The sequence below is a fragment of the Homo sapiens genome, chromosome 11, assembly GCF_000001405.40.
Source record: "Homo sapiens chromosome 11, GRCh38.p14 Primary Assembly".
Taxonomy (NCBI): Eukaryota; Metazoa; Chordata; class Mammalia; order Primates; family Hominidae; genus Homo; species Homo sapiens.
The window spans coordinates 77,123,029-77,148,399 of record NC_000011.10 but is presented as its reverse complement, the minus strand read 5'-3'; the positions used below and the strand labels follow the sequence as shown (position 1 = coordinate 77,148,399).

The following is a 25,371-nucleotide window of genomic DNA, read 5'->3' as shown; positions in this document are numbered from 1 at the left end:
CCTTTAGCACCCTCCTGAGGATATCCATCCATCCCTATCCATCCTCTCTTGGCCCTGCGGCCTGATGGCAGGTCCTAGTCCCTTAGCAAACGCCCAGCAGAGCTGCCCTCCTGTGCATGGGCAAAGCACCAAGCCGCTCACTGACTCCACCCTGGCCTCCCATTGGTTTCAAGGCCTAGAGAGGCACATGAAAACTGCGTAGTACAAACCGCTCCCCACCCCAACCACAGACTACAAAAGCCACAGCCCAAGAGGATGAGACCCCGCCGAGCGGCTGCCGGCAGATGGGCCCCAGCAGGGGCCCCGGGGTCCAGCTGCACAGCGGACAAAGTCTCAGGAGGCAGGGCCCCGGCAGGGCGGGGCCGGAGGCAAGTCGGGCGGGGTGGGGCGAGGTGGGCGGGGCGGGGCCTGAGGGGGCCTGGACGGGCACCGGGCGGGGCGGCACTCACGTAGATGAGGTGGTCCCGGTAGCGGATAAGCAGGTTGCGCAAGATGCCCGCCTCGTTGAGGTCCCCCAGGCGGATCATGTCCTCCACGCCGTGGACCGACGTGGGGTGCATAGGCTTGATGTGCGTTGCGTTCTGCGGAGAGATCCAGTGTTCCTGCGGGGAGCCAGAACGTCAGCGTGCTCTCCTGGGGCCCAGGCTGCGCACTTCAGGGGAAGGGGCCGGGACGGGCGGGAGCGCGGGGTGAGTGCCAACCCGGGTAAGGGCCTCGACCTCTCTGGCAGCCAGACACTGTCAGTTCTAACAGGGTTCAGTCAGGATGGTACCAGCCACCTCTACCCCTCAAGGACCGCTCCTTCTCTTAGGGGATTTTCCCGCAGACCTAAGAGGTGGGCAGGGCAGGGATTTTGGCCCCATCTGACTGTTGTCAGTAAGGGGATCAGAGTTCCCTCAGGCCCTTTGCAGGATGGAGTGGAAAGGGTAATAATTAGAAGTAGACAAGCTTGGTCTCAAATTCAGGCTCCGGTAAAAAAGAAAGAAAGAAAGAAAGAAAAACATTAAAAAGTGATTTCAGATAGTGCCAAGAATACCTCAACAGGTGTATGTGGTGGAGAGTCATGGGGGGAGCTGCTTGAGATGTGGTGGTCAGGGACTGCCCCTCCGAGGAGGTGGCATATGAGCTGAGGCATGAAGGAAGAGAAAGAGACCACTGTAAAAAGATTAGGGGGAGGGGGGCAGAGGGCTCCAGGCCCAGGGAACAGCAAAACAACTCCTCAGGCTGGCAAAGGCTTGGCAGGTTCAGGGGAAAGCTGGAAGGCAGGGCAGTAGCAGTGGTGATGGGGAGAAGGGGACCCACCCAGGAGATATTTCCTGGGGCTTGCTGATGACCTGTGGGAGCAAGAGGTGTGAACTCTTGGGACGTGTGAGCTGAAGTGGAGGACACAGGCTGCCTGCCCAGCTCTCCTTACTCCGCAATATTCCCCAGCTGCCTTGTGGTGGCAGATGGGTGAGCATTTGGGAAGTGCACCAGCTCTTTCAACAAGCTGGCAAAGCCCTGGTTTCCTCAGGGCCCTGGGGCCCTCCCCGCCCCCAGAGGGTCTCCAGCACCTTTGCAAAATCCCAGACTCTCAGGGAAGTGTGGCCATTGCCTGAGAGTACGTCAGCCCTCCCATCCCCAAATGCCATGACCCAGTAGCCCCAGGACCTGCCTTCTGGGGGGAAAGGGGACCTCTCTGCCACCTCCCAGCTCAGGCCCTGAGACTCGCTGAGCAGATGTGATGCACATGCCATGTCCTCCCCCACCTGCTCCTCCTCCAGGTCCCTTCTGGCATAGTCAACCCCAACAGCTGGACACTAGCAGGAATCTGGACATCAGCTCCCCCCACCACCACCCCAGTCCAACAGGTCACCCAGTCCTGCCCATTCAACCCTCTAAAAGGCTGCTGAGTGGGCAGTACCCTCCTTGCCACCCTCAAGCCCATACCCTGATTGAGACCACCGTCTCTCACTGGCCCGGCCCCGGCCTCTTGCTGTCCCCATCTTACCTCCAGCTCTTCCATCAAATCCCTCGTCCCCTGGGCCTTTCCTGAGGCACCCTCCTGACCCTGTCACTCTGGGGCTCTCAGCCCTTCCCTGACTCCCCTGGGCTCCTCAGCCTGGCATCAAGGGCCAGCATGCGCTAGACACAAGGACCCCTAACCTCCATCCCAGCTACCCCCGGTACATCCTAGCCAGGGAACACGGGTTTCATGTCCCCAAAGGCCTCTGTGACTTCGCTCCACTGTTCCCTCTACCTTCTTTCTCCTTAGCCTTCGAGGCTTGGCTCGGAGGTTTCCCAGTTTCTGAAGCCTCCCCTGACAGTGCTGGCCACCCTCACATGCTCCATCTGTGCCATCCCCCTGCCTCCAGGGCCACATCTCAGGCCACGGTGCCTCACACAGGGGCCGGGCACAAATGATGTGGCAGGGAGCCTCTGATGGGACAGATGGCTGGCTGGTGACTGCGGGGGACCAGGTCTGAATGAGAGGCAGAAGTCAGTCATGGACAGACCCCAGAAGTCCCCCATTCCAGCCCCCTCACTTCACATGAGAAAACAGGCTCGGAGGAGGGTGGCAGCCTGCCCAGGCCCTCAGGGGGATTAGGGGCTGCGCTGGACAGAGCCCCCCACCCCAGTTTCCCTGATACTCCACGGCACTTCTGGGCCAGCAGCACTTCAACGCAGGGCAGGCTCTCACGCAGCCTCCCCAGGGCGAGGGGGTGGGTACTGTTAGGGAACCTGCCTGGACTTTCCAGTCCCGTGTGGAACATTCCTCTCTCCCAGGCACCCTATTTCTTATACAAGCTGATCCTGTTGGAAAATCCCCCCATGCGGTCCCCGCTCCCTGCCTCTGTCCCAGGCCCCAGTGTGGACAGGAGGGGAGAGGGCTCCTGGGCAGGCTGTCTGCTGTCGCCACTTGACCCCAGCCTCAGGTCCCCACATCCCTCCCCATGACAGTTCAGCACACAGGTTGACAGTGCTCAGCCACGGCCTGACCCCGGACCCCTGAGCACATCAATTTGCCCTCCTGAGCCTCCATGTCCTCAGCTGTGAAATGGGAATGAGAGTAAGAATCCCTTCTTCCCAGGGGTTTTGGGAGGACTGATGGATGTGATCACGACATCCATCTTTGTTGACAGCTTTCTCCTGCCAGGTCTGTAGAGTGCTGCTGCTTGGTAAATGCTCATCCAGAGCTGGGCATTGTCACTCTACTGCCTTGTGATTTACATTTGCTTCTCTAACATCCCTAACAGAGAATCACTGACCCCATTTAACAGTGACGAGCCGGACTCAAGAGGTAAAATGACTTGCCCAGTAGCTGCACCGCTCCCACTGTTTCCTGCGTGGGAGGAGTCCCAACAGAGGCCAGCACCCTGCAGGTCAAGGTCCACAGGTACCTACCGGGGGCCAAAGTGTAACCAGGGCAGTAGCTGAGGCCTGGCCTGAAGAAATGCCAGCAACTGGGGGAAGGGAACATGGTCAATTCCAGGGACCAGGGATGCCTTTGGGAAAGAGCTGGCCTGGACTGAGCAGGGACAGCTTGCTCCCTAGAGGAAGGGAAGGAGGGGTGTATCTGGCAACAGAAATGGCTTGGACAAAGGCAAGACACTGGGATTCCAGTGGGGACTGAAACCATAACCTTTCATTCATCACTCAGCGAGTCTTTGCCAAGAGCCTTCCCTGGGCAGACCCCTTGATGAACTCTGGGGAACCAGATGGGACTGGCCTGTTCCCTGCTCTCAAGTTGCTAGGAGTCTGTGGGCAGACAGAGGGGTAAGAGATGACAGCCTGGAGTTGGGAGGGAGGGGATGGAATGGGGGTGGGAAAGGCTTGTGAAGGAGCGGTCTGGAAGCCCTGGGGGTCCAATGCCACAGATGCAAACCCCAGCCTCCCGAACTGCCCCTGCCAGCCAGTCATGCCCACCCCTCCTGCAGCCCCCACTCTCAGGGCCTGGGTGGAGGAGAAGCGGGAGGGGACCTTTGGGATTCGGTGACGCAGTTACGGGACACCATCTGACATGCAACATGACCCAGGTGAAACTCAAGCCTGCAGACAGAGTCCCTGGTCCCCACCCTGGGGGCTCTGGGCAGGTTAGCAGGCCCGTCTATGCTGCCACCCAGCCTGTGCCTCCCCTTCTGTGGCTGCACCCTCATAGTAGGTTCCTAGAGGGTCCTAGAACTGGAGCCTCTGGAATGATATTGCAGGCCTTGGGTTCTACGGCCCAAGGGCCAAAAATGTGATTAGCAGAATCTGAGCTCCAAAGTCGCCGCTGAGATAATGCTGACAGGGGAAACTCATGCATAGAAGACAGAGGTCCTGGGTTCTAATCCCAGCACCATCACTTACTAGCTGTGTGACTGGCTGTGTGGTCCCTCTATGTGCCTCAGTTTCCTCATGGGATGACAATTCTTTCCCTCCCTGCCTTCCACAGATGCCATGAGAGTCCAAAGACAGAACTTGGGTTAAAGGGTCTTGCAAACTCTGAGGGGATGCACCTGAGGGCTGCAGGAATATCTGGGATGCTCCTGCCCACTCCTTGTCAAGCACCTGGCCTCGAGGGTCCTGAGCCCTCCCGTCGTCCCCAGCAGAGCCTCAGTTTCAAGTCCCTGCACCCTCTTTCTCCTGACTCTCCTCCCTCAGACCAGGAGGCTAAGAGGGACTCAGTCCAATTCTGTGTCCCAGCCCCTGGCACACCGCAGGGCACAGCCCACATTATGGCAGAGCTGAATCTCCCTGGATTCTTCATATCCCTGCTAAGCTGCCCCTGTGTGCTCTGCACCCCATCTGCATACCCCCAGTGACACACACATGTGCACGCATGCTCAGAGGCCCCAGGGCTTCCCCTCCGGGCCCTCACGTGAACCAGCCACCTTCTCCGGGGCAGGCCCCTGACTTCAGACCTCTCCTTCCCTCCCCAAGGCCCCACTATCATTACCTAGAAAACTTACACTTCTGGGGTCCCTTTCCTTCTGGGCCACAGATAAAGGGTTAATCTGTGAGACCAATTTCCAGAGCAGTGTCAAGGTGGACAGTGGATTCATGTGATGTCAGTAACCCAACACAGTGAGGCTGTGGACGTTCATTTAACTTTCAGACTAGCACTAACTTCACTGAGGTGTTCTGCACGTGTGATCTCATGTATGGGTCAACAGCCCTGTGAGATACGTATTATTATCCTCATTTTACAAAGAGGAAACTGAGGGTCAGGAGGGAAGGAGACTAGGCCAAGTTTGCGCAGCTAACAAATGGACGAGATAGGATTTGAATGCAGTCTGCCCCCAAAGCACCTCTGTGTCTGAGGAGCTCCTAGCCTGCTCCCCCTGCACTCAAACCCCACCACACACACACACATCTCTAACACCATGCAGAGTGGACTGAAGTGCTTGTGGAAACAGAACAAGTAGCCTGAGGCAGGCAGGGGTTCCCTCTTGTTGGGGTGCTGGGGAAAGCTCATGGAAGGGGGCATCTGAGAGGCAGAAGTGGGGGCATGGGCATGGCCTCCATCTCCTTTCGATCATCTCCCTGCATCAAGGCAGCTGTCAGCCCAGGTCTGACCCCAAGGCATGGGGCAGGAGGAGGGAGGGGACTACTCACATTGTCTTCATCATCCACCACCTGGACCTGCCCAGAGTCGCAGAGCTTCACCACCGCCCCGATGGGCACGTCGAACTCCTGCCCCAATCTCAGGTCCATCCACACATGGTCCCCCTATGGGCGAGAGAGAGTCTCAGCCCAGGTGAGCAGGGAGGGGGATTGGAGCCCCTTCCAGGCAGCCCTATATCCCTCTGCTACAATCAGAGGCTCTGAGCCAACCACACAAGGGGGAAGAGAAGGGGACTCACACTTACTAGCAACCTTCTGGAGCAGTGCAGGCCCTGGGCTGGGCATTTATGCAATCTCATCAATCCCCCCTCTAGAACAGCCATATTCCCATTTTATGGATGACTTAGCAGAGGCTCAGAGAGAGCCAAGGCCTCTCAAAGCCCAGCTCTCCCCATGGATCTACACCCTACATGTGTATGACAGATTCACTGGGGTCTAGACAGAAACACCAGACCACTCAAACCACTTCCTCTCTAACATGACACCACAGGACACCCAGACAGTGGGTGAATGCTGCAGCCTCCTTCACCTCCAGGGCTGATTTTTATCATCATTATGACAGGTTCCTCACAGGGACACCACTCCGTGCTGGGCACTAGAGAAGGGTTCAGCCACATTGTCTTCTGGCATGTGGAGAGAGCCCTGATCCTGGGGGAGGATGTCGCTTTGTGTCCCCTGCGGCATCTGGCCCAGGGCCTGACTCGCACTACTCATTCAGCAAGGGATCGTGAGAGCCAAACGTAAAATCCCAAGTCAGAGAAATGGACTAAGAACAACCACATTCAGCACTGATGGATTCAACAAACATGTATTGATTACCTACTGAGTGCAAAGCACTGATTAATCTAAATGCTGGGGGTTGAGCAGTGATTATGGAGTCTACGTTCTAGTTAGAGGTGGTGACAAAAAACTGAGCAAATAGATCAGCACGATCACTTTGGATACTGGTGAGTGCTGTCAAGGAAACAAACAAGCCAATGGTGGAGAATGACAGAGCCAACCAACCTAGACCCAGTAGCCAATGGAGCCGCTCCATGGAGGGAATCGCTGAGCTGACACCTGAAGGGTGACAAGCAGTCAGCCAAGGGAAAAGCAGGGGACAGTAATCCCAGCATAGGAAACAGCACATGCAAAGGCCCTGCGGCAGAAAGGAACAGCCAGGAGGTAGGACCTGATGGGCGAGAGGGAGCTCAGAGAAGTAGGCAGGGTCCAGGACACATAGGCCCTTTGCTGGCCTTGGGATACAAGCTTAGATTTTATTCTAATCCTAATAAAAGTATTCTTTTTTGGGTGGTACTCCAACTCCCTAGGAGTTGGGACATTCTAATAAGAATATAACTTAATATCAAGTAAAAAAAAATGTAACAACTTATAAAACTGATTCACAATGAAGTAAACCGTGGTAATGGTCTGACAGAATCTGTTCTGGGCTAGGAGTCAGAAGACTGGGTTTCAGGCCCTACCCGGCCTTGGGTGAGTCGCTGACCTCTCTGAGCCTCAATTTCCACATTTCTCAGTGAAGGCTGAACTCAGTGAGTCCAAGACCAACTCATTACTGTTTCAGCCTCCTCTTGTTCCCATCAGAACCAGCTACAGTCATGCATTGTTAATGTCAGAGATAAGTTCTATGCAAACATATGAAGTCATCGAGTGTACTTCACAAACCTAGATGGTACAGCCCACTACACACCTAGGCTGGATGGGGTAGCCTCTTGCTCCTACACTACAAACCTGTACAACCTGCTACTGTACTGAATACTATAGGCAGTCATAATCCATAGTGTGTATTTGTGTATGTAAACATATCTAAACATACACATAAAAGGTACAGTAAAATATGGCATTATAGTCTTATGGGACCACTGCCATCTATGTGCTATTTTCCAGCCACAGCTGCCCCTGTGGACCCTCTCTTCATGTGAATGGGAGGTTGGCACATGATAGAGTCAGGCTAGTCCCAAACCCAAACTTCCTCCCAGAAAAAGTAAGAAAAATTGGAGAGGCTTGGGCGTGGAAGAGAACTGTTTACTGAGCATTCACTGTGGGCCTGGGCTCCACAGGCTGCATCCCGTAAACTGCCCCATATAATCCTCACAGCTGCTTGTGTCCAAGCCCCAGCTGCACTCCCTGACCCTGGGCTTACCCCTGACAGCCACCCCACACAGGGTCTGCTCCCCTTCCCCACTGGCCTGGAGCTCCCTAGGGTGGGGCTGGGTCTGAGTCCCTCATCTGTGGCTCCCCAGAGCCCAGCCCAGAGCGGGCCTCGGTGAGAGAGAAGGGGTGGGGAGCGTGTTCGCTTGTGGGCAACAGCATGTGGCCAGGGGACTGTCTCCAATTTCTCTCCTCAAAGAGGTCAAGAAACGTGCCCAAGGTCACACAGCTGTTTTGTGGCAGAGCCAGGACTGAAGCCCAGGTCTGACAAACCCCAAATCCAGGGCTCTTTCCTGACATTCCCTGGGCCCAGTCCCACATGCAGCTCACTGAGCAAAACAGGAAACACTGATAGAGTCCTCCCCCGCCCAGATGGCTCAAGGGCCCTGAAGGCAAGCTGGAGACTTAGGCTGAGGGCAGCTGGAAGGCAGGGGTCTCTCTGAGTCACCTGTATCCCTCAACCCAGCACAGGGCCTGGCACACAGAAAATGTTTGTTTCCCCTGGGAGAAGATAAAATAACCAAAATAAAAAAAACTTCATGTGAGCAGGAAATGGAGATTCCGAGAGGCTGAGTGAAGCTCTTGGGGCCACACAGCAAACAGACATGACTACAACTCTTCTTACTTAGGGCTGTCACAGAGGGCAGTGACCAAACTATCTTGCTCTAGGCCAGACTTGAGGAAACAGTTTCAGATGGCAGGGGAGAGGCTTCAGGGAGAATTCTGGGGTCTTAGGACTTCTGAAGGGGAATATTCCTGTGGCCCTAGGGAAAGTTCTTGAAGCATCGCAAGGCAGGCAGGTTGTAAGGATCCTCATTTTACAGCCGAGGAAACTGAGGGCCAAAGAGAGAAAGGAACCTGGCCACAGTCACTCATCAAATCAGTGACTGACAGGACTATTAGCATCTGGAGGACAGAGCCAGGACCAAAATCAGGGTGGATCAGGAGTCACTGGCTCAGAGGGAGAAGGAAGGGAGGAAGGAAGCCATGAAAGAAGATGAAGCTTCATTGAGAGGCAGGAGGGAGGTGAGAATGGGGAACCAGGCTCCAGGTAGGACCCCACCACCCCCTCCCATCCCCATGGCTAGCCCCAGGCACCCCACCACTGCATCTGGCCCCATTCCTACACCATGTTCCGTGACAACTTTACACACTGTATGGGGCGCCTTGCTTGGTACTCACCTTGAATGGAAGATCTCGTTTGTGACACGACACATGCCTCAGTGTGGCTGTGTAACGTGGGGCAAGTCCCAGCTTTTCTCCTATCAAATATATGACCAGGGCAGAGGGTTTCCCAGGCCCTGCCAGCTATGCAGGCTCCCAGCCCGAGTCGTGCCTTCCTAGAATGGGTCTGTTCGAATGTTCTCAGGGGTACTCCAAAACCCCTGTGGGGCCTCCCCCCAGGAAAGCCAGCACATATCCACAGTGAACACATAGGAGATCTGGCTTATAGTCCCAGCTCCACCACTAACGCTGTGTCTCTCTGGGTGAGGCACTCAATCTTTCTGGGCCTCAGTTTCCACCAGCCATGAAATGGAAGGAGTCAGTGCATGTAAAGATGAGAGACCCATGCAAATGCACATTGTTCTTTCTGTCTACCCTCCTTCCTCCCAGGCATCAAGCCGGTCTCGAGCCAATATTAATAATTCCCCACAGGGCCTTAGCCCTTTCTGCCTCTTCCTTCCTCTGGGACCAGGCCTGGGGCCAGTCCCTGTTTGTGGAGTGAAAAGGAATCTGTTTCAGGACATTTTGCCGCTCGTTATCTTCATGATCACTCTGGGACACCGGTTTTATCACCCCATTTTCACAGATGGGAAACGTGAGCCAAGCATCTTGCTAGTGTCTAGTTGCTAAACATAGTTTGGAGAGGAGACCAGTGGGCCTAGCTTTCTCTTCCATCAGCGGTCAGCCAGTCCATAAACTATGGCTGGGGGTCCCTCTGTGCACCTGGAGGTGCTCCCTGCTCTGGATCTCAGCAAATGCAGGACACCCCCGCCCAGACCTGGCCTGCCTGGCTTGGGTTTCCCAGATGCAAAACCTCTCCTCCTAGGAAAGGGCAGCCGCGGCCAAGTTCACACTGGGGGAGGTCAGAGACCGCAGGTGGCATCCTAGGGCCGCAGTCCATGCACACCCTGAAGCCTAGCGACCCTGTTTGTGGCCCGCCCAGCTTCTAACAGGCGGGGAAACTGAGGCCCGGGGCGAGGCGCCCTCCCCCTCCCTTCTCCCCTCCTGGCCCGGGCCTCACCGGCAGGACGGCGTAGGTCTTGAACGCCTGGTTCAGGCTGCGCACCAGCGCCCACTTGCCGGGCTGCGGGATGCGCGCGGGGTCGGCAGGGTCGGCGGGGTCCTCCATGGCGCTGCGACGGCGACGGCGGCACTGCTCCGGCTCCCTAATTCACCTAATCCCGTGCGCGCCGCCCGCCCCGGAACCCTAAACCGGGCCATCTGCTGCGGGCCCATGGCAACGGCGGCTTAGGTGACGCCCGCGGGCGGGACGGCGAGGGGGCGCCCGCGCCACCCCGGCCCCCTCCGTCTCGGCCGAACCCCCCACAGCCCCACTTTGCCCGGAATCCCAGGCGGCTTCACTGGCACCGCGGCGGTAGGCCCGGGATAAACGTGGCACCTGGCACCGCACCTGACGGCAGTTTTGGAAAAAATCGTCATGTTTTTTTCTATGTTTTCCATGGAAGGAAACACGAGGATGTTATGGACTAGAACGCGGTAAACTCCCGGGGTTTTTAAGACTAAAGGAGAGATGCATTGAAGATATTTCTGGCTCCCTGGCTGCCTCTGGGGAGTGAGGGCAGATACAGTTTCCTTCTGGGGTAAGTTTGGGGGAAAGCCCCTGAAGAGGCTATGTCCTCCTCCCGCAGCCCCCGAGGTCAAATAGCAGCCCACGTCCATCCTGCAGAAGAGGCCTTGGAGGCCTGGTGTGGGGTCCCCTGAACTCCCCAGGACAGCTGAACCACCTCGATGGCTCAGAGCTCTCCCTGCAATGGGCCAAGCTGGCCTCCTGTGTCCTAGCAGCCACACAGGGCTGGACACCAGGCGTCGGTCCACGCTGGGCTGTGAGCCAGAGGCCACCGTCCCATCCCGAGGGTCCGGAAGGCCCAGGCCCTGTGACTCCTCTCCCATTCCCTCCTTCTCGCCTTGCCCTGCCTATCTTTGTCCTCCTCCCCTCTTTCCTCCTTTTTCTTCCTCTTCTCTTTTCAAGGCCTCCAGTCTGCATTTGTGGCTCTCTGCATTGCCTAGTATCCTGGAAGCCAACTGCTCCCCAACGAATGAACAACGGCAGAGAGTGGGGGCGGGGGACTGGGTGGGGGGAATGGCAACGAAAAAGACGGTGATGCCTCACACAGGGCTCAGAGCCACCCAGGATGGGCCCAGTTCTACCCCACTCCCTGTCCCAGCCTTGGGAACCCAGGGCTCTGCTGTCCAGCACGAAGCTGACTGATCAGTGATTCCCACTCACTTCCTGTGACCTCTCAGGGACACCGCTCTCAGGAGAGGTCCTTCCCCCAGTCAAGCCGAAAACAGGCACACCTATCTCTCCCCGCCCATCTATAGCAGTACATTGGGACAGGACCCAGACCTCAGACACAAGGAAGTGCTGGTGGTGAGCTTCCAGGCATTCTACCACGAGTTCATATAACCGACCTTCACTGAGTACAGGTTCAGACTAAAGTACAGAGGACACTGTTAACAAGACATGTCCTCAGAGCTCCCAGCCTGGTGTGGTGGACAGACCCAGGCACAGATAAGGATGGTACCACCAGATAAGAGGCAGATCAGTCCCGGAGACATAGGATAGCATGGCCACTAAGAGTTTGGACCCTGGAGTCAGATGGCTTAGTTTCAATCCCAGCTCAGCCACTCACAAGCTGTGTTACCTTGGGCAAGTTCCTCAACCTCTATGTTCCTTTCTTTCCTCATCCGTCAGGTGACAAAATGACACTGCTTCCACGTGCTCGTGAGGATTTAACAGGTTAAGATGCGTAATGCACCTAGATTGGTGCCTGTTAGACCAAATGTATATGAGTGCCAGCCATGGTTAACTAAGGGAGTCGTGTTAGGGGTGACAGCTGGGTTTTAAGATTTTTTTTTTAGGCAGACATTAGGGGAAAGGGCATCCCAGGAAGAGGGAACAGCAAACTCAGAGAATCAGAGGAGAGAGGGAAGAGATTGTAAAGTAAGTCTGGCGGCTGGTGGCTAAAGAGAGGTCCCCTGGGGGAGACCCTGCAAGGTGCTAAGAACCTGACCTTGCCTGGTTCCAGAACGACTACTGAGACCACCCTTGAGCTGGAGGAATAGGCCTCTTCTCCACAAGTGGCAAAGACAGAGACTCTTGAAAGCAGCAACAGAGAGGTGACTCATTCTATACAACGAATCGTTAGTATGAGTCTCGGCTGATTTCTCATCAGAAACCACGGCGGCCAGAGGGCAGTAGGATGGCATATTTAAAATGATGAAAGAATAAAAAAACTGTCAAGAAAGAATTCTATATCTGGCATAACTATCCCTCACAAAGGAAGGAGAAATGAAGACATTCCCACGTAAACAAAAGCTGAGAGAGTTTGTCACTAGTTGACCTGCCCTATAAGAAATGCTAAAGATTAAAAGACATTGAACAACAACAAAACAAACAACCCATTTCAAAAGTGGGCATAGGCAGGAGTTTGATGGCACTACTGTACACCAGCCTGGGTGACAGAGTGAGACTGTGTCTCCAAAACAAACAAACAAACATAGGCATAGGACTGAAATAGACATTTCTCCAAAAAAGATATACAAAGCGACCAAAGGCACATGAAAAGATGCTCAACATCATTCATCATTAGGATAATGCAAATCAAAACCACAATGAGATACCACTGCACACCCATTAGGATGGCTATTACAAAACAAAACAAAACAAAACAAAACAGAAAATAAGTATTGGTAAAGATGTGGAGAAAATGGAACCCTTATGCACTGCTGGTGGGAATGTGAAATAATACAAATGTTGTGAAAAACACTATGGCAGTTCCTAAAAAAATTAAAATGAGAATTACCATATGACCCAGCAATTCTACTTCTGGATATATACTCAAAAGAATTAAAAGCAGAATCTCAAAGAGGTCTTTGCACACCTATGTTCAAAGCAGTATTAATTATAATAGCTAAAACATGGAAGCAACCCAAGTGTTCCTCAATAGATGAATGAATAAACAATATGTGGTATAAACATACAATAAAACGTTACTCAGCCTTAAGACGGAAGGAAATTCTGACACATGCTATTAATACAACATGGATGAACCTTGAGGATATTATGCTAAGTGAAGTAAGCCATCACAAAAAGACAAATAGTGTATGATTCCACTTATGTGAGGCACCTAGAATAGTCAAATCAAAACCAGAAAGCAGAATGGTGGTTGCCAAGGGTGGTGGGGAGAGGGGAATGGGGAGTTATTGTTTAATGGATAGAATCTTTATTTTACAAGATGAAAAGAATTGCAGAAATTGATAGTGGTGATGGTCACACAACATTGTGAATGTATTTAATGCCACTGAACTATGTACTTAAAGTGGTTAAATGGGGCCAGCCATGGGGCTCACTCCTGTAACTCCAGCACTTTGGGAGGCTGAGGCGGGCAGATCACCTGAGGTCAGGGGTTCAAGACCAGCCTGGCCAACATGGTGAAACCCCATCTCTACTAAAAATACAGAAATTAGCTGGGCATGGTGGCAGGGACCTGTAATCCCAGGTACTCAGGAGGCTGAGGCAGGAGAATCACTTAAACCTGGGAGGCAGAAGTTGCAGAGTGAGCTGAAATCACACCACTGCACTCCAGCCTGGGTGACAGAGTGAGACTCTGTCTCAAAAAAAAAAAAAAAAAAAGTTAAGTGGTATATGTTGTTATATGTATTTTAAAAAATACAAAATTGGAAAAAAAAATAGAGTACAGTAGACAGTGATGCAAAGCCATACAAAAAAATTAAAGAACACTGGTAAGGGCACTTACATAGATAAATAGAAAAGTCATATTTAACCAGGCACAGTGATAGGCGCCTGTACTCCCAGCCACTTAGGAGGCTGAGGCAGGAGGGCTGCTTGAGCCCAGGAGTTCAAAGCTGTAGTATACCACAATTGCACTTGTGAATAGCATCTGCACACCAGCTTGGGCAACACAGTAAGACTCCATCTCTTTAAAAAAAAAAATGTTGTATTTTTGGTCTGTAACTACTTTCTTTTCTGTGTGATTTAAAAGACAAATGTATAACATAATGATAAATCTATGTTAACTGGCACACAATGTATAAAGATGCAATTTGGACAATAAATAACATAAAGGGGGAGAGATAGAACTATAAAGGAACATAATTTTTATTTATTATTGAAGCTAATTTGGCCTTAAACTATATTGATGCAGATTTAAGATGTTATTTGTAGGCCAGATGCAGTGGCTAACACCTGTAATCCCAGCAGTTTGGGAGGCTGAGGCAGGCAGATCACTTTAGGTCAGGAGTTTGAGACCAGCCTGACCAGCATGGTGAAACCCTGTCTCTACTAAAAATAAAAAAAATTAGCCAGGTATGGTGGTGCACGCTTGTAATCCCAGCTACTTGGGAGGCTGAGGCAGGAGAATTGCTTGAACCCAGGAGGCAGAGGTTGCAGTGGGCCGAGATTGTGTCATTGCACTCCAGCATGGGCTACAAGAGTGAAACTCCATCTCAAAAAAAAGATGTTATTTGTAAACCTAAGAATAATCATTGAGGAAAAAACTTTTAAAATACACAGAAGAGTAAATGAGAATCAAAACAGTACTTTAGAAAAAAATGTCAATTAAACACAAAAGAGCAGTAATGAGGAATTGAGGAGGAAAAGATATAAGACATACAGAAAACATAGCAAAATGGCAGAGGTCCTTCCTTAACAGTAATTACTTCATGTGTAAATAGATTAAACTCTCCAACCAAAAGGTAAAGACTGGCAGAATGGATAAAAACAAAACAAAACAAAAACCAACCACATGATCTAACTATATGCTGCTTACAAGAGATCCACTTTAGATCCAAAGACACAAATAGGTTAAAAGTAGAAGGATTTCATGCAAATAGTATTCCATGCAAATAGTAACCAAAAGACAGTTGAGATGACTACACTATCAGACATAGATGTTAAGTCAAAATCATTACAAGAAACAAAGAAGGACATTATATTTTACTAAAAGCATCAATCCAACTGTTATCAACAGCCCACAAATTTATCTTCAAACCTCCCTCTGCCCACAAATCTGGGCCAAGTACACAGAGTCCCTACCCTGGCACCACCATGAAGCTGGGAATCATGACATACTGAAGCACAAAAGCCCTCCTTGTGGTCCTTAAAGATGTGAGTCAGGTGTGCCACACAGGTGCGCCACTAGTCAGCTGGGCTAGTCCTTCTTCCAGAGACCTCAGTCCCTGTATGTTCATGAGAGGCTGCTGCAGCTGTCTCATGGCCTTCCCTGTCCACCCTCTCCCAGGGAGGGCAGAAGGCTCTCCCATTCCCAGGTGCCCTCTCATCCCCGTGCCCCCTGGAGACTCACTGTCACAGTGCCTTTCCTAGGTTTCTAAGCTGTCTCCCCACATAGGTCTGGGAACTCCTCCAGGGCAGGGAATAGTAGGTGAATGCCTGCTCCTCCTGCCTTCAAGCAGGAAGTATGCTTCAGCTGCTTCCTTGGTCCTAAAAAGAACCCGAGCCCCGGGAGCCGACCCGCTCTGCAGTTCCACAGGCCGGGCCCAGTGGGCTCCATCTTGTGCTTTGCTGTTGAGTAAGAGGGCCTTGGGCACATTACTCAGCCTTCCTGAGCCTGTTTCATCATATGCAAAATGCAGATTAAAAACCTCTATCCACCTGGTGCGGTGGCTCACGCCTGTAATCCCAGTACTTTGGGAGGCCGAGGTGGGCGGATCACGAGGTCAGGAGATCAAGACCATCCTGGCCAACATGGTGAAACCCCGTCTTTATTAAAAATACAAAAATTAGTTGGACGTGGTGACGGGTGCCTGTAATCCCAGCTACTCAGGAGGCTGAGGCAGGAGAATTGCTTGAACCAGGGAGTCGAAGGTTGCAGTGAGCCAAAATCATGCCATAGCACTTCAGCCTGGTGACAAAGCAAGACTCTGTCTCAAAACAAACACACACACAAACAAACAAACAAACAAACAAAACCCCTGTTTTCCCACAGCTGCCATTGTGAAGCTAAAATGCCATTTGGGACTCCATGAAAATGCTTCTTCCTTCATCTGCTTCCCTGGACTGCCTCTCTCCTCCTCTCTTCCTGCCAGTTCCTTCCCTATCCTGAAAGATCCACGGGAAATGGGATGAAGGCTGTCCCTCATGTCCAGGGCTCATCAGGAAGCCCCAGGTAGGCAGAGAAAGGAGGAGGACTGTGGACCAGGCCCTGGGGTTTGCAGAGCAGGGAAGCCTCCCGAAGGAAGTAGAGGCTACACTGAAGCCTGAGCAGAAGTCAGCCAGGCAAGAGGGGAAGCCAAGCACTCCGTGGACCTTTCAGGACCGGGAAGGATGTGGCAGGAAGAGAGGAGGAGAGGGCAGACCAGGGAAGCAGAGGAAGGAAGAAGCATTTTCATGGAGCTCCACATGGCATTTTAGCCTCTCATCGGCAGCTGTGGGAAAAGAGGCTTTTAATCTTCATTTTACATATGAGGAAACTGAGGCTCAGGAAGGCTGAGTAACGTGCCCAAGGCCCTCCCACTCATCAATAGCAAAGCCTGGGCTGGAGCCCATTAGGCCCGGCCTGTGCAACTGCAGAGCTGGCCGGTTCCCCAGGGCTGGGGCTTTCTTCAGGACCAAGGAAGGAGCTGAGTGTACTTCCTGCTTGAGGGCAGGCAGAACAGGCATTCACCTACAAGACACTTGCTCCCAACAGAGGCCACCCACAGCTGGAGGTGGGTCAGCGTTCAGAGGGGCAGGAGAGGAGGGGGTGGTGAGGAGGTCCCATCAGCCAGAGGCCTGCCTCAGAGGCCCCCTGAGGGAGGACGCCCCTGGAGGGCTATGGGGGCCCAGGCCCTGGCACACAGCAAACACTCAGCGAATGGACTTTTCCTCTCCTAGATCCTGCCCATCTCTAATGGGCGTTTGAACAGGCTCTCAGGCCAAGGGGCTCTAAAGGGGGTCTCCTCCAGCCCCTGGGATAGAAGAATGTCTGTCCTGATGCTGCCCTGAAGCCTGCCTCTCACTCACACACACAGACACACACACGCGCACGCACTCATATGCAAACATGCTGGTCCGTGCAGCCTCAGGGTGGCCAGGCAAGGCTGAGCCATTGGCCTCTGGTGACCCTGGAGACCGAGAAGCTGCTGGCCAAGCCCCCATAATGCACAGCCCCACAAGCCCTACGGCCTGCTGCCAGGCCCACCTGGCTCAGGGCCCACATTCCTGGCTCCTGCTCTGGAGGCCAGGAGCTCATTAGAGCCTCAGACTGATCACGGGGAAGGGCTGAGGGTCAGAGGCCACTGTGGCCCTCAGTAGGAAGGGGGGCTGGAGGACTCAGCTCGGGCCAGCACCTCTGCTTCTTCCCATAAAATCCCAGGGGGCTCCAGCTCAAGCCTTGTCACCCCCCGCCCTCCAGTCACTGCTCCCCAAGGCCCTAAGAATAAGTTGGGCTCAGGGCCCTTCCTGGCCTGGCTTTGGGAGCCTTGCCAACCTCCTCTCCTCTTCCCCAGGGACCTTCCCACACCTGGGCCTTTGCACATGCTGTTCCACTGCCTGGGATCCAGAGATGTGTGTAAATAAACTCATTTCTGCCCAGTGGGGTGAGCCAGTGAGAGAAGGAAACCCCAGCTGGCACAGCAGAGGGAACAGGTTTCAGACTAGGCCTCAGCCTGGAGGGCTGGGTTTGGAAGCCTAGGCAGGAATTTTCCAAGAGAACACCCTGGGGAGGGTGTCCCACGGGTAAGCATATGGATGAGGGGATATGGCCTGGGGAGGACAGGCCACCCAAAGAGGTGGGAACACTGACCTGCTGAAGAATCACCATGGTCCCAAGTCAGGAGCTCCTGCTGCCCACTGGGCCAGGCACAGTTCTGCAGGGAGAGAGACCATGTCATGCTTCTGGGCAGGCCAGCCCTGGAAGCCTTGAGCCTGGCTGGGGTCACCTGGGCTCCTCCCAAAGCCCCAGCTCCTCCTCCCTCAAGGGAACCCTCCTTGGCTTCTCTCCCTCTGACCACTGCCCAGCCTGTGTGACCTGAGCCTCAGCCACTGTCACCAGCACCACTGCCCAGAGCAGCTGAATTCTTCTCTCAGCCACTGTCATTCAGAGATTCCCAAAGGGCTCCTAGAAAGTAGCAAGTCTGGCCCCACCAGGGACCTACGGCAAAGGGGCCCAGAGAGGGACCAAGACTTGCCCAGGGTCACACAGCTAGCCAGAGCAAATTTAGGACTAGGACTTAATCTCCGGCACTCAGCTTAGGGACTGCCCCAGGAATGTGGGTGACAAGGACAAGCCTGACTGAGCAGAAGGTCAAGGGCTGGGCATGACCTGCTCACAGCACACCCTGCCTGAAACCTCTCAAGAGCACCCACTGCCCTCAGGATGGCTCTGTGCAGAGCACTGGCTGCTGACGGGGAGGCAGGGTCATTGGGGTCTGTCTCTGGCTGTGCTGCTGAATGCACCGCACCTGGGCCTGGGCCCGGGCCCGGGCCCGCCCCGCTAGGCCCAGCACAATCTGGCCCCTGCTGATGCCTCGGTCTTTTCTCTCACTGCTCACTCCCTTTCCTACCCTTATACTTGGACATCCTCAGTGACTCACTGTTCCTGAAATACGCCAGCTCTTGCCATCTCCTGGCCTTCACACACTGGCCCTTCTACCTGAAATTTTGACTAGTGAATTTCCACTTATGGTTCATGGCTCAGTTCAGATGATACCTCCTCCAGGAAGCCTTCCCTGACCACTCCCAAGCTGCCAAGAGCCTCTATATTCCCCTTTATCCCATTTTGACTATATGCATTATGTTGTCAGGGTAAGGGTCAGTCCCACCTCTGCCCCCAAAGTTGGCGAGTTGATCCAGGGCAGGATGTGGCCAATGGGAGAGGGTCTGAGACATTGCCTTGTCTCCAGCCTTGTCCAGCACAGGGCCAGACCCAGAGACGGCCTCAGGAAGGAGCTTAAAAGGCAGCCCCAGCCTACAGACCCTGGTATGAGGCCCCTCTGGCTCCCAACCTGTCTCCTAGAATGCGCATCAATTTTTCACAAGGGCCCATTCAGAGCCGCCGGGGCATTCGATCCTCTGCCCATGACACTGCCCGACATCCGAGCCCTGACCCCTGCCCTGGAGCTCTGGGACACAGCAAACCCACAGTCCTTCCAGAGACCTGAACTAGTCTGGATGCCTGGTGGAGATGTGGATTCAACAGGGCCAGCAGGCAGTTGCCACCGGGCACTTGTCTGAAGATGGTGCCCAGGCTGTGGAGCAGGCGCCCTATGCCAGCATGAGCCATGAGGGCTGGGGGCAGAGCCAGTGCTTTCACTAGAGACATGGGGCTCCAAGGGATGGGGGAGAGTGGTGAGGGCGTGAAATTTAAGGGCCACATTTTAAAATGACCAGACAGACATTTCATTTCTAAAAATGAGAACTAGACCACCTTCAAGTTAATTTCTTTTCCAACTGACAACAGGGGGCATAGACTGTATTTGTATTTCTATGTCTATACCTGATTTTACCTCTTCCCCACTACAACCCTGGCTGTTGGGGCTTCATACTCCCATTTCACAGATGGGATATTTGGGGCATAGAGGAAGGAAGTGACTTATCCAAAAACGGAGATAAAGAGTGTCAGAGAGAAAGCAAAGGAGACAGAGAGAACGGACTCTTCTCTCTGCCACCACAGCATGTCTATTCCCCTGGCCCCAGGATGCCACTAACCCCAGCCCCAGCTCAGAGAAGATTCGATGGACAACATGCTCCTTGGCTCTTCCCTCCTCCAGGGGACACACATCCATCTTCCCAGGCTCGGGACAGTTTCATTCAGTGGCTGTGGTGGCTGAGCCCTCAAGGGTGGCAGGAAGCCCAGTCCCAGGAGCAAGTGGCTGTGGGGCAGAGGCTCTAGAGGTAGCTCAAGTCCATGACTCCTCCACATCCAAACCCCTCCCAATGCCCAGGACAGTGGGCAGCCCATCCTTACCTGGGGCCCAGCTGCCCACTCTCAGTGACCTGCCAGCCTGGTACAGCTGCCACCTGCACGGAGGACTCAGGAAGCTGGGTCACGGGCCCAGCCAGTCTGCAAACACACGTCCCCTCTTCCTCTGTCTGGCTCCAAGTCTCGTTCTAGGCGTCCCTCTGGGTCTTTCCCTTCCTCGCCGTCTCTCTGTGTGTGTCTCTTGTCTCTCCCTCTCTCTCCTGCCCAGAGCAGCTGTCCAGCCAGCACTGCTGCCCTCCCCTCCTCACTCCAGAGCCTTCTCCCAGGAGGCGGAGCCGGAGGGGGCCTCCAAGGTCTGGGTGCGGTGACATCAGCGTGGGGGACGGGCCGTGCTGGGGCTGGGACTAATGTCCAGAGGCTGCTCAGGGCTCTGTGCAGAGCACTGGCTGCCGACAGGGAGGCGGGGTCATTGGGGTCTGTCTCTGGCTGTGCTGCTGAATGCACCGCACCTGGGCGTGGGCCCCCCAGGCTAGCTTCAGGTGCCTCCTGTTGTTTGCAGGACACCGCCTGCTGTCTCAGCACCTGAGCAGGAAACCGCACCTGATCCTGACTTAATCACTGATGTGCTGGGGTCTCAGCCCCATTTCTTCCTCCTCTACCTGGCTGTTTGGGACTCAGAGAGGGAACGGTCAGGCAGAGCATGGCAGGAGGGAGAGTGCTGAGCTAAAGCCCTGCCTTCTGCGCCTTCTCCCTCCTGCACACCCACCCTTGCCTCTGATGTGTGTTCTCTGACGCTGGTCAATGCAACATTGCCCCCACAACCTGCTCTGCGGGTTGGGGACACATGTTATTCCGTAATCATCCAGAAACTTTGCCAAACCAGCTGACTGGGAGCCACCCCACGTGTGACAGCGACACAGATAAACTGAAGTGAAATCTGTGATTTAAAGGAGTGGGGGGAACCAAGCAAAGAGGAGCACACGTCTTTGTTATTAGCGTTGTCGAGGATGGAGACCTCGCGCGGCCCTATCGGGACATGACAGTTTCTCCTTTCCGCCCTCGGCAGCCACGCAGCTGTCGGCGGCCCCATAGTGCACCTCGCCAGGGCAGCTCTGGGTGGCAGAAGGATGTCTCTTTTGGGTCCCTAGCCCCCATAACTGGGGTGTCTGCAGGGAAGCTGCCCAGAAGGTGGGGTGGGGGCCCAAAGGGGCGCTATAGCTCGCCAGCGCCGCCTGCTGGTCACAGGCCCCACTGCCCAGCTGCTTCCGTCAGGCGGGCTGAGCACCGCTGGGAAGTGACCGTGACAGGAGTCAGCTTCTGCTAGGGCCTGGGTCCCCTCAGACCCGACGACCCTGTCCCAGGAAGACCCCAGGATGCCGTCTGCCCCTTAGCCTGCTGGCCTAACAGGAGTCCAGGAGTCCCTGGAACACAGTCCCCACCTGGGATTTGCACCTGCTGCCGAAACCCAGTACTGGCCACTCCTCAAGTCCCCCCTCTCCATCCTCCCAGGCTGGGCGGGGCCAGTGGCGTCAGCCCTACACGGATGGGGAAATGAGACCCCGGGGGAGCACAGGAGAGCCCATGGCACACGACTGGCAGCAGGGACAAAATGCAGTGAGCTGTGGGAATGGGGCAGAGAGGTGGGCAGGTTATGGGGGACAGGGCGGCCTCCAAACACCAGGATGACAGCTACATTGTGTTCAGCCATGCTATGAACCAGGCACTATGCTAAGCAGATCACACGATTTGCAATACCCATTTCTCAGTCCCATGAAGAAAGCGAGGCATCTCGGTTCACTTTGCCCTCACACTGCACTCACCCCGTCTCCCAAGTCGTTTTTCATTGAGTCGTCCACTCTGCTTTCAGTCATCCCAACCCTGCTTCTCCCCACCACCACACCAGCTTCCTGGCCCTAGATGCCTGCATCTGCCCTCAGCAGCCTCCGCTCTGGTCCCCCCACACCTTCCTGTGCCCCGAAGGCCCATCTCCTCTTCCCAGCCCTTCATGCACAGATCAGGGAGTAGGCCGTCTCTAACCCAGCAGGCCCACACTGCCCCATCAGTAATGTGCGGGGTAGTGTCTGTCATGACCAGAGTATGTCTTTGTTCTCGCTGCTCGTTTGTAGACTGTCCCAGAGCAGGGATTGCTATGCCTGGTTCCCCACATCCCAGGTGCCCGGGGCAGGCCTTGGCACAAAGCCAGCCCCGTACAGATCTACTGAATAAAGGAATGACTGAATGATCCCCACAATCTCAGCTCACAGGTGCACCGGGCAGGCAGCGGGGCCTTCCCTCTGACCAGCGGACAGTCGCCCAGGCCTGGGGAATATTCCTCCATTGTCCCTTCCCCCCAGGGGGACAGAGGGACACAGGAAAGTCTTTTTGGAATTTTGTAAGATTTATTGAGAATAGAACAGGCTTCCTGTCCCCTAACCCTGTGGTGGATCCTGAGAAGAGGGAAGCCTAGGTCTGGGTGGTGTGGGCTGGAGGCCCTACCCACCTGCAAATGGGGACTCCCAGGCCCCCGCGGGTGCATACAGTGAACAAAGTAATTGCTCTCCCCTATCACCCCTGATCCTTACCTGCCTGGCCCCCAAGGTCTCCTGGGGACCAGAGATCCCTGCATAGCCAGGAGCCAGCCTGGCCCACCTCAAGGGGCAGGAAGCAAGGGTAGCACTGTGGAACCTGTTTTTGTCAGGGGGTGGCAGGCATGCCCCGGCCCCGAGGCTGAAGCCCACAGGTCTGCCACTTGGTCCTGGTGTGCCCCTGTATCCCAGGGGACATGGCTGAGCAAAGTCCTATGTGTTAGCCTGAGGTGCAAGCTGGCTCACTTCACCCCCTACTCAGGAGCCTTGATTTGAAATAGACATCGAGAAGTGGTGATTACATGAATGTATATATATATATATATATATATATAGTGCGTGTGCATACAGAGATACATAGAGAAAGGGGTATTATTTTGCCCTTACTCAGCACTCGGTAGTAACAGTGCTGACACACAAGAATCATTGGCCCCACTTTGTAGAAGGGGGAAATCGAGGCACAGGAGGTTTAAGTGACTTGCTCCCAGTCATGCAGAGTCCCGGCCCCAGGCCCAGGTTCTTGAGGGGAAGTCCCGGCTTTCAAGAAAGAACACTCTTATCCTCCTTGTCGTTCATTTCCTGGCCCCTCATATGGCCCAGGGCCAAGACCCAGGAGCAAAGCCAGACACAGAGTGAGGAGGCAAAATCAGAGAATCCAGCACCTCCAGCCAGAACACTGATCCAGACAGCAGGATCTGGAGTCGGAAAGTCAGGTTCCCAAAAGGAAATCCCAGCAAGGACACAGGGATTCCTGTTCTTGAATTAACTGCACTTTTTCATTTGCTACACCTGGTCTGGAAGCCCGAGAAGGGCACAGCAGAGATCCCAAGTGGGTCACGGCACCAGTGCTCACGAAGAGTTCTCCAGAGGACCAGCAAAACTGGAGCCAAGAAGAAAAATGGAGGTTCAGGCTTTCAATTTTCTTTTAAAACCCCTGATTAAAATTGAGATTTTCAAAACAAAAAGAATATAAAACATTGAGGACTAAAAGGAACATTTTGGTCTGGGCAGGAAGAAGAGCACTGCGGCCTCCTAGGCTGCATTTTGGGGGAATGTTGGTGGGGGGCTGTGGTCAGGTGATGGGGCTCCCTATCTCCTGCCGAGCCCAGTGGGTGGCCTGACTCTGGTGAGCACCACACACCCCAGAGTCCCATCTTCCAGGAAAAGCTGGGGTCTTACAGCAGAGAGGCTCTGGGAGCACATCTCCCCTTCTGGTCCCCAAAGGCCCCCAGCTGCCTGGCCCCTGGCCCACTAACCCAGGCATGCTCCTTCCAGCACTGGGCAGAGGAGTCAGGAAGATGCCCTTCCTCACCCCCACTGACGCCACCTCTCCAGGGACCTTAACGCAGGGGCTGGGAATGGAATCGGAAGCTAGAATGAGCAGGCAGCAGCAGCTCCCCTAGGTATCTGCCTCTGAGAGGACCTGAGGACAGAGGCGAGGCCCAAGGCAGAGGCCGGAGTAGGGCCCCGCTTCACCTGGGGCCTCAAAGGTGTCGTTTATTCATTTGGCAAATCTCCACTGAGTGAGGAAATGGATGGGTGAGAGGATGGGATTAGAGAATGAACAAATGTCACCTGCATATTTTCCCAATTCCAGCCTGAGCAGGAACCCGGCAGGAGCCAAGAGTCCTTTCAAGGTGGGAGAACACCAGGTATTGCTGATGGGGAAAGTGAGGTCTGGGAGGCTGGGTTGGGCCTAGGACACGAGGGGCAAGAACGGAGCTTGGGGATGTGGCAGTTCGTGTGTAAACAAGTGACATCTTCTTGGCGCTCCTCGGCAGACAGCAGGGCCTTAGGAAAATGTGCTCAATGGATAGAGTCCCTTAGCAGTGGTGACAGTTGAGGTGGGGAGGACTATTTGAAATCTCAGCAAGGAAACTCCTCCACGAGAATGGAATGCTTCGGGGCCCTCGGGACACTGAGGCTGAGAGAGGGGCAGAGACTTCCTAAGGTCACACAGCAAGTCAGTGGAAGAGTGGGAAAAGGACCCCAGTATCCTGGCTCCCAGGCTAGACTCAGGCCCAGTGGGGACATGCAGATGGTGGTGGGAACGGTCAGAGCCAGGTAGGTGGGCAGGTGTCAGACAGCCATGAGGGAGGTGCTGCTGAGAATGTGCACGGCCACAGTGCCTGGCAGGTTGCTGGGCTGCCGGCTATTTCGGTCCCGGAGGTGGAGGGTATGCAGGGCCTGGAGGTTGTCCGGGTCAGCCTTTAGGTGCACCTGGCCCAGAAATTCATCCTTCAGCACTCGGTGGTTCCAGACCTGGGAAGAGACAGAGGATCATGGGAGGGGCGGGCTACCTCCAAGACCAGCAATATAGGTCTATGGGGGGTGCTGGTGGTGGTGGCAGGGCCTTGAAGTGCAAGCCTGGCTGAGGATCGGGGGCCCTGGGCTGTCTGCCTCCCCATGAACTACGGGCAAGGTGGTGCCCCTTCCAGAGCCTCAGGCTCCTCAGCTAGCTAAGCTCCCTCCCATGCATAAAGTGAAATCTGTTATTAGCTCCGCTGTTGATCTTGGGTGAACTTGGACAAGCGGTACACCCACTGCCCTAGTTTCCCCATCTTTAATATGAAGGTTGAGTCAGCTGCCCCTAGGGGTCTTTCCAGCCCTGAGACATACAGGTCTGTGATTTGATCCAGTGGGACTCAGTGTTAAGAAAACTTGGATAAGCCACAGTGGCTCCCCCAGGGGGACCCAAATGTTTGTTTACAGATGCTGTCTCACTGAGAGAGATGCTGATCAAGGCCTGGGGGCCAGAGAGCTCCCTAGTATTGAGTTCAGAATCATCATCCCCAGGCCACATCAGCCTGAGAGGAGAAGGAAGCCATGGGGAGGACACTGGCTTTCTATCCCCTGCCCAAGGCTCTTGGGAAACAGCCACACGCACCACACAGTGGCTCAACGCCACTTTCCAGGTGGGC

General features: G+C 54.4%; 2 protein-coding genes across 30 annotated transcripts in view, besides 5 other annotated features; both read right to left on the bottom strand.

Moving 5' to 3' along the window:
- The window catches only part of MYO7A (myosin VIIA), an 86,996-nt gene extending 66,842 nt beyond the window's left edge, over positions 1–20,154 (bottom strand). For 16 of the 23 annotated variants that reach the window (XR_001747888.2, XR_001747889.2, XM_017017780.2 and 13 more), the window contains exons 1-3: positions 9,983–10,187; positions 5,578–5,691; positions 450–602 (exon numbers count right to left, since the gene is read on the bottom strand). Coding sequence is in view for 21 of the 23 variants with exons in the window: in XM_017017780.2 (XP_016873269.1) it covers positions 450–602; positions 5,578–5,691; positions 9,983–10,090 (375 nt within the window). In the remaining 2 variants the exon portion in view is untranslated. Of the gene's footprint in view, positions 1–449; positions 603–5,577; positions 5,692–8,919; positions 9,012–9,982; positions 10,188–17,747; positions 17,812–19,910 lie in introns of those variants that run through there. The other 7 variants (NM_000260.4, NM_001127180.2, XM_011545044.3 and 4 more) reach the window with 3 other exon arrangements.
- Positions 7,824–8,390: an enhancer, noted in NCBI's record as "H3K27ac-H3K4me1 hESC enhancer chr11:76851056-76851622 (GRCh37/hg19 assembly coordinates)". NCBI's record gives its function as "activates a minimal SCP1, AML or CMV promoter by ChIP-STARR-seq in naive H9 embryonic stem cells {active_cell/tissue: H9 hESC(naive)}" and the evidence as "EXISTENCE:reporter gene assay evidence [ECO:0000049][PMID:30033119]".
- Positions 16,409–17,130: an enhancer, noted in NCBI's record as "H3K27ac-H3K4me1 hESC enhancer chr11:76842316-76843037 (GRCh37/hg19 assembly coordinates)". NCBI's record gives its function as "activates a minimal SCP1, AML or CMV promoter by ChIP-STARR-seq in primed H9 embryonic stem cells {active_cell/tissue: H9 hESC(primed)}" and the evidence as "EXISTENCE:reporter gene assay evidence [ECO:0000049][PMID:30033119]".
- Positions 18,576–19,299: an enhancer, noted in NCBI's record as "H3K4me1 hESC enhancer chr11:76840147-76840870 (GRCh37/hg19 assembly coordinates)". NCBI's record gives its function as "activates a minimal SCP1, AML or CMV promoter by ChIP-STARR-seq in naive H9 embryonic stem cells {active_cell/tissue: H9 hESC(naive)}" and the evidence as "EXISTENCE:reporter gene assay evidence [ECO:0000049][PMID:30033119]".
- Positions 20,022–20,745: an enhancer, noted in NCBI's record as "H3K27ac-H3K4me1 hESC enhancer chr11:76838701-76839424 (GRCh37/hg19 assembly coordinates)". NCBI's record gives its function as "activates a minimal SCP1, AML or CMV promoter by ChIP-STARR-seq in naive H9 embryonic stem cells {active_cell/tissue: H9 hESC(naive)}" and the evidence as "EXISTENCE:reporter gene assay evidence [ECO:0000049][PMID:30033119]".
- Positions 20,746–21,468: an enhancer, noted in NCBI's record as "H3K27ac-H3K4me1 hESC enhancer chr11:76837978-76838700 (GRCh37/hg19 assembly coordinates)". NCBI's record gives its function as "activates a minimal SCP1, AML or CMV promoter by ChIP-STARR-seq in naive H9 embryonic stem cells {active_cell/tissue: H9 hESC(naive)}" and the evidence as "EXISTENCE:reporter gene assay evidence [ECO:0000049][PMID:30033119]".
- The window catches only part of CAPN5 (calpain 5), a 59,185-nt gene continuing 56,058 nt past the window's right edge, over positions 22,245–25,371 (bottom strand). For all 7 annotated transcript variants that reach the window (NR_189161.1, NM_001425322.1, XM_011545225.1 and 4 more), the window contains one exon: positions 22,245–24,712. Coding sequence is in view for 6 of the 7 variants with exons in the window: in NM_001425322.1 (NP_001412251.1) it covers positions 24,530–24,712 (183 nt within the window). In the remaining variant the exon portion in view is untranslated. The remainder of the gene's footprint in view (positions 24,713–25,371) is intronic.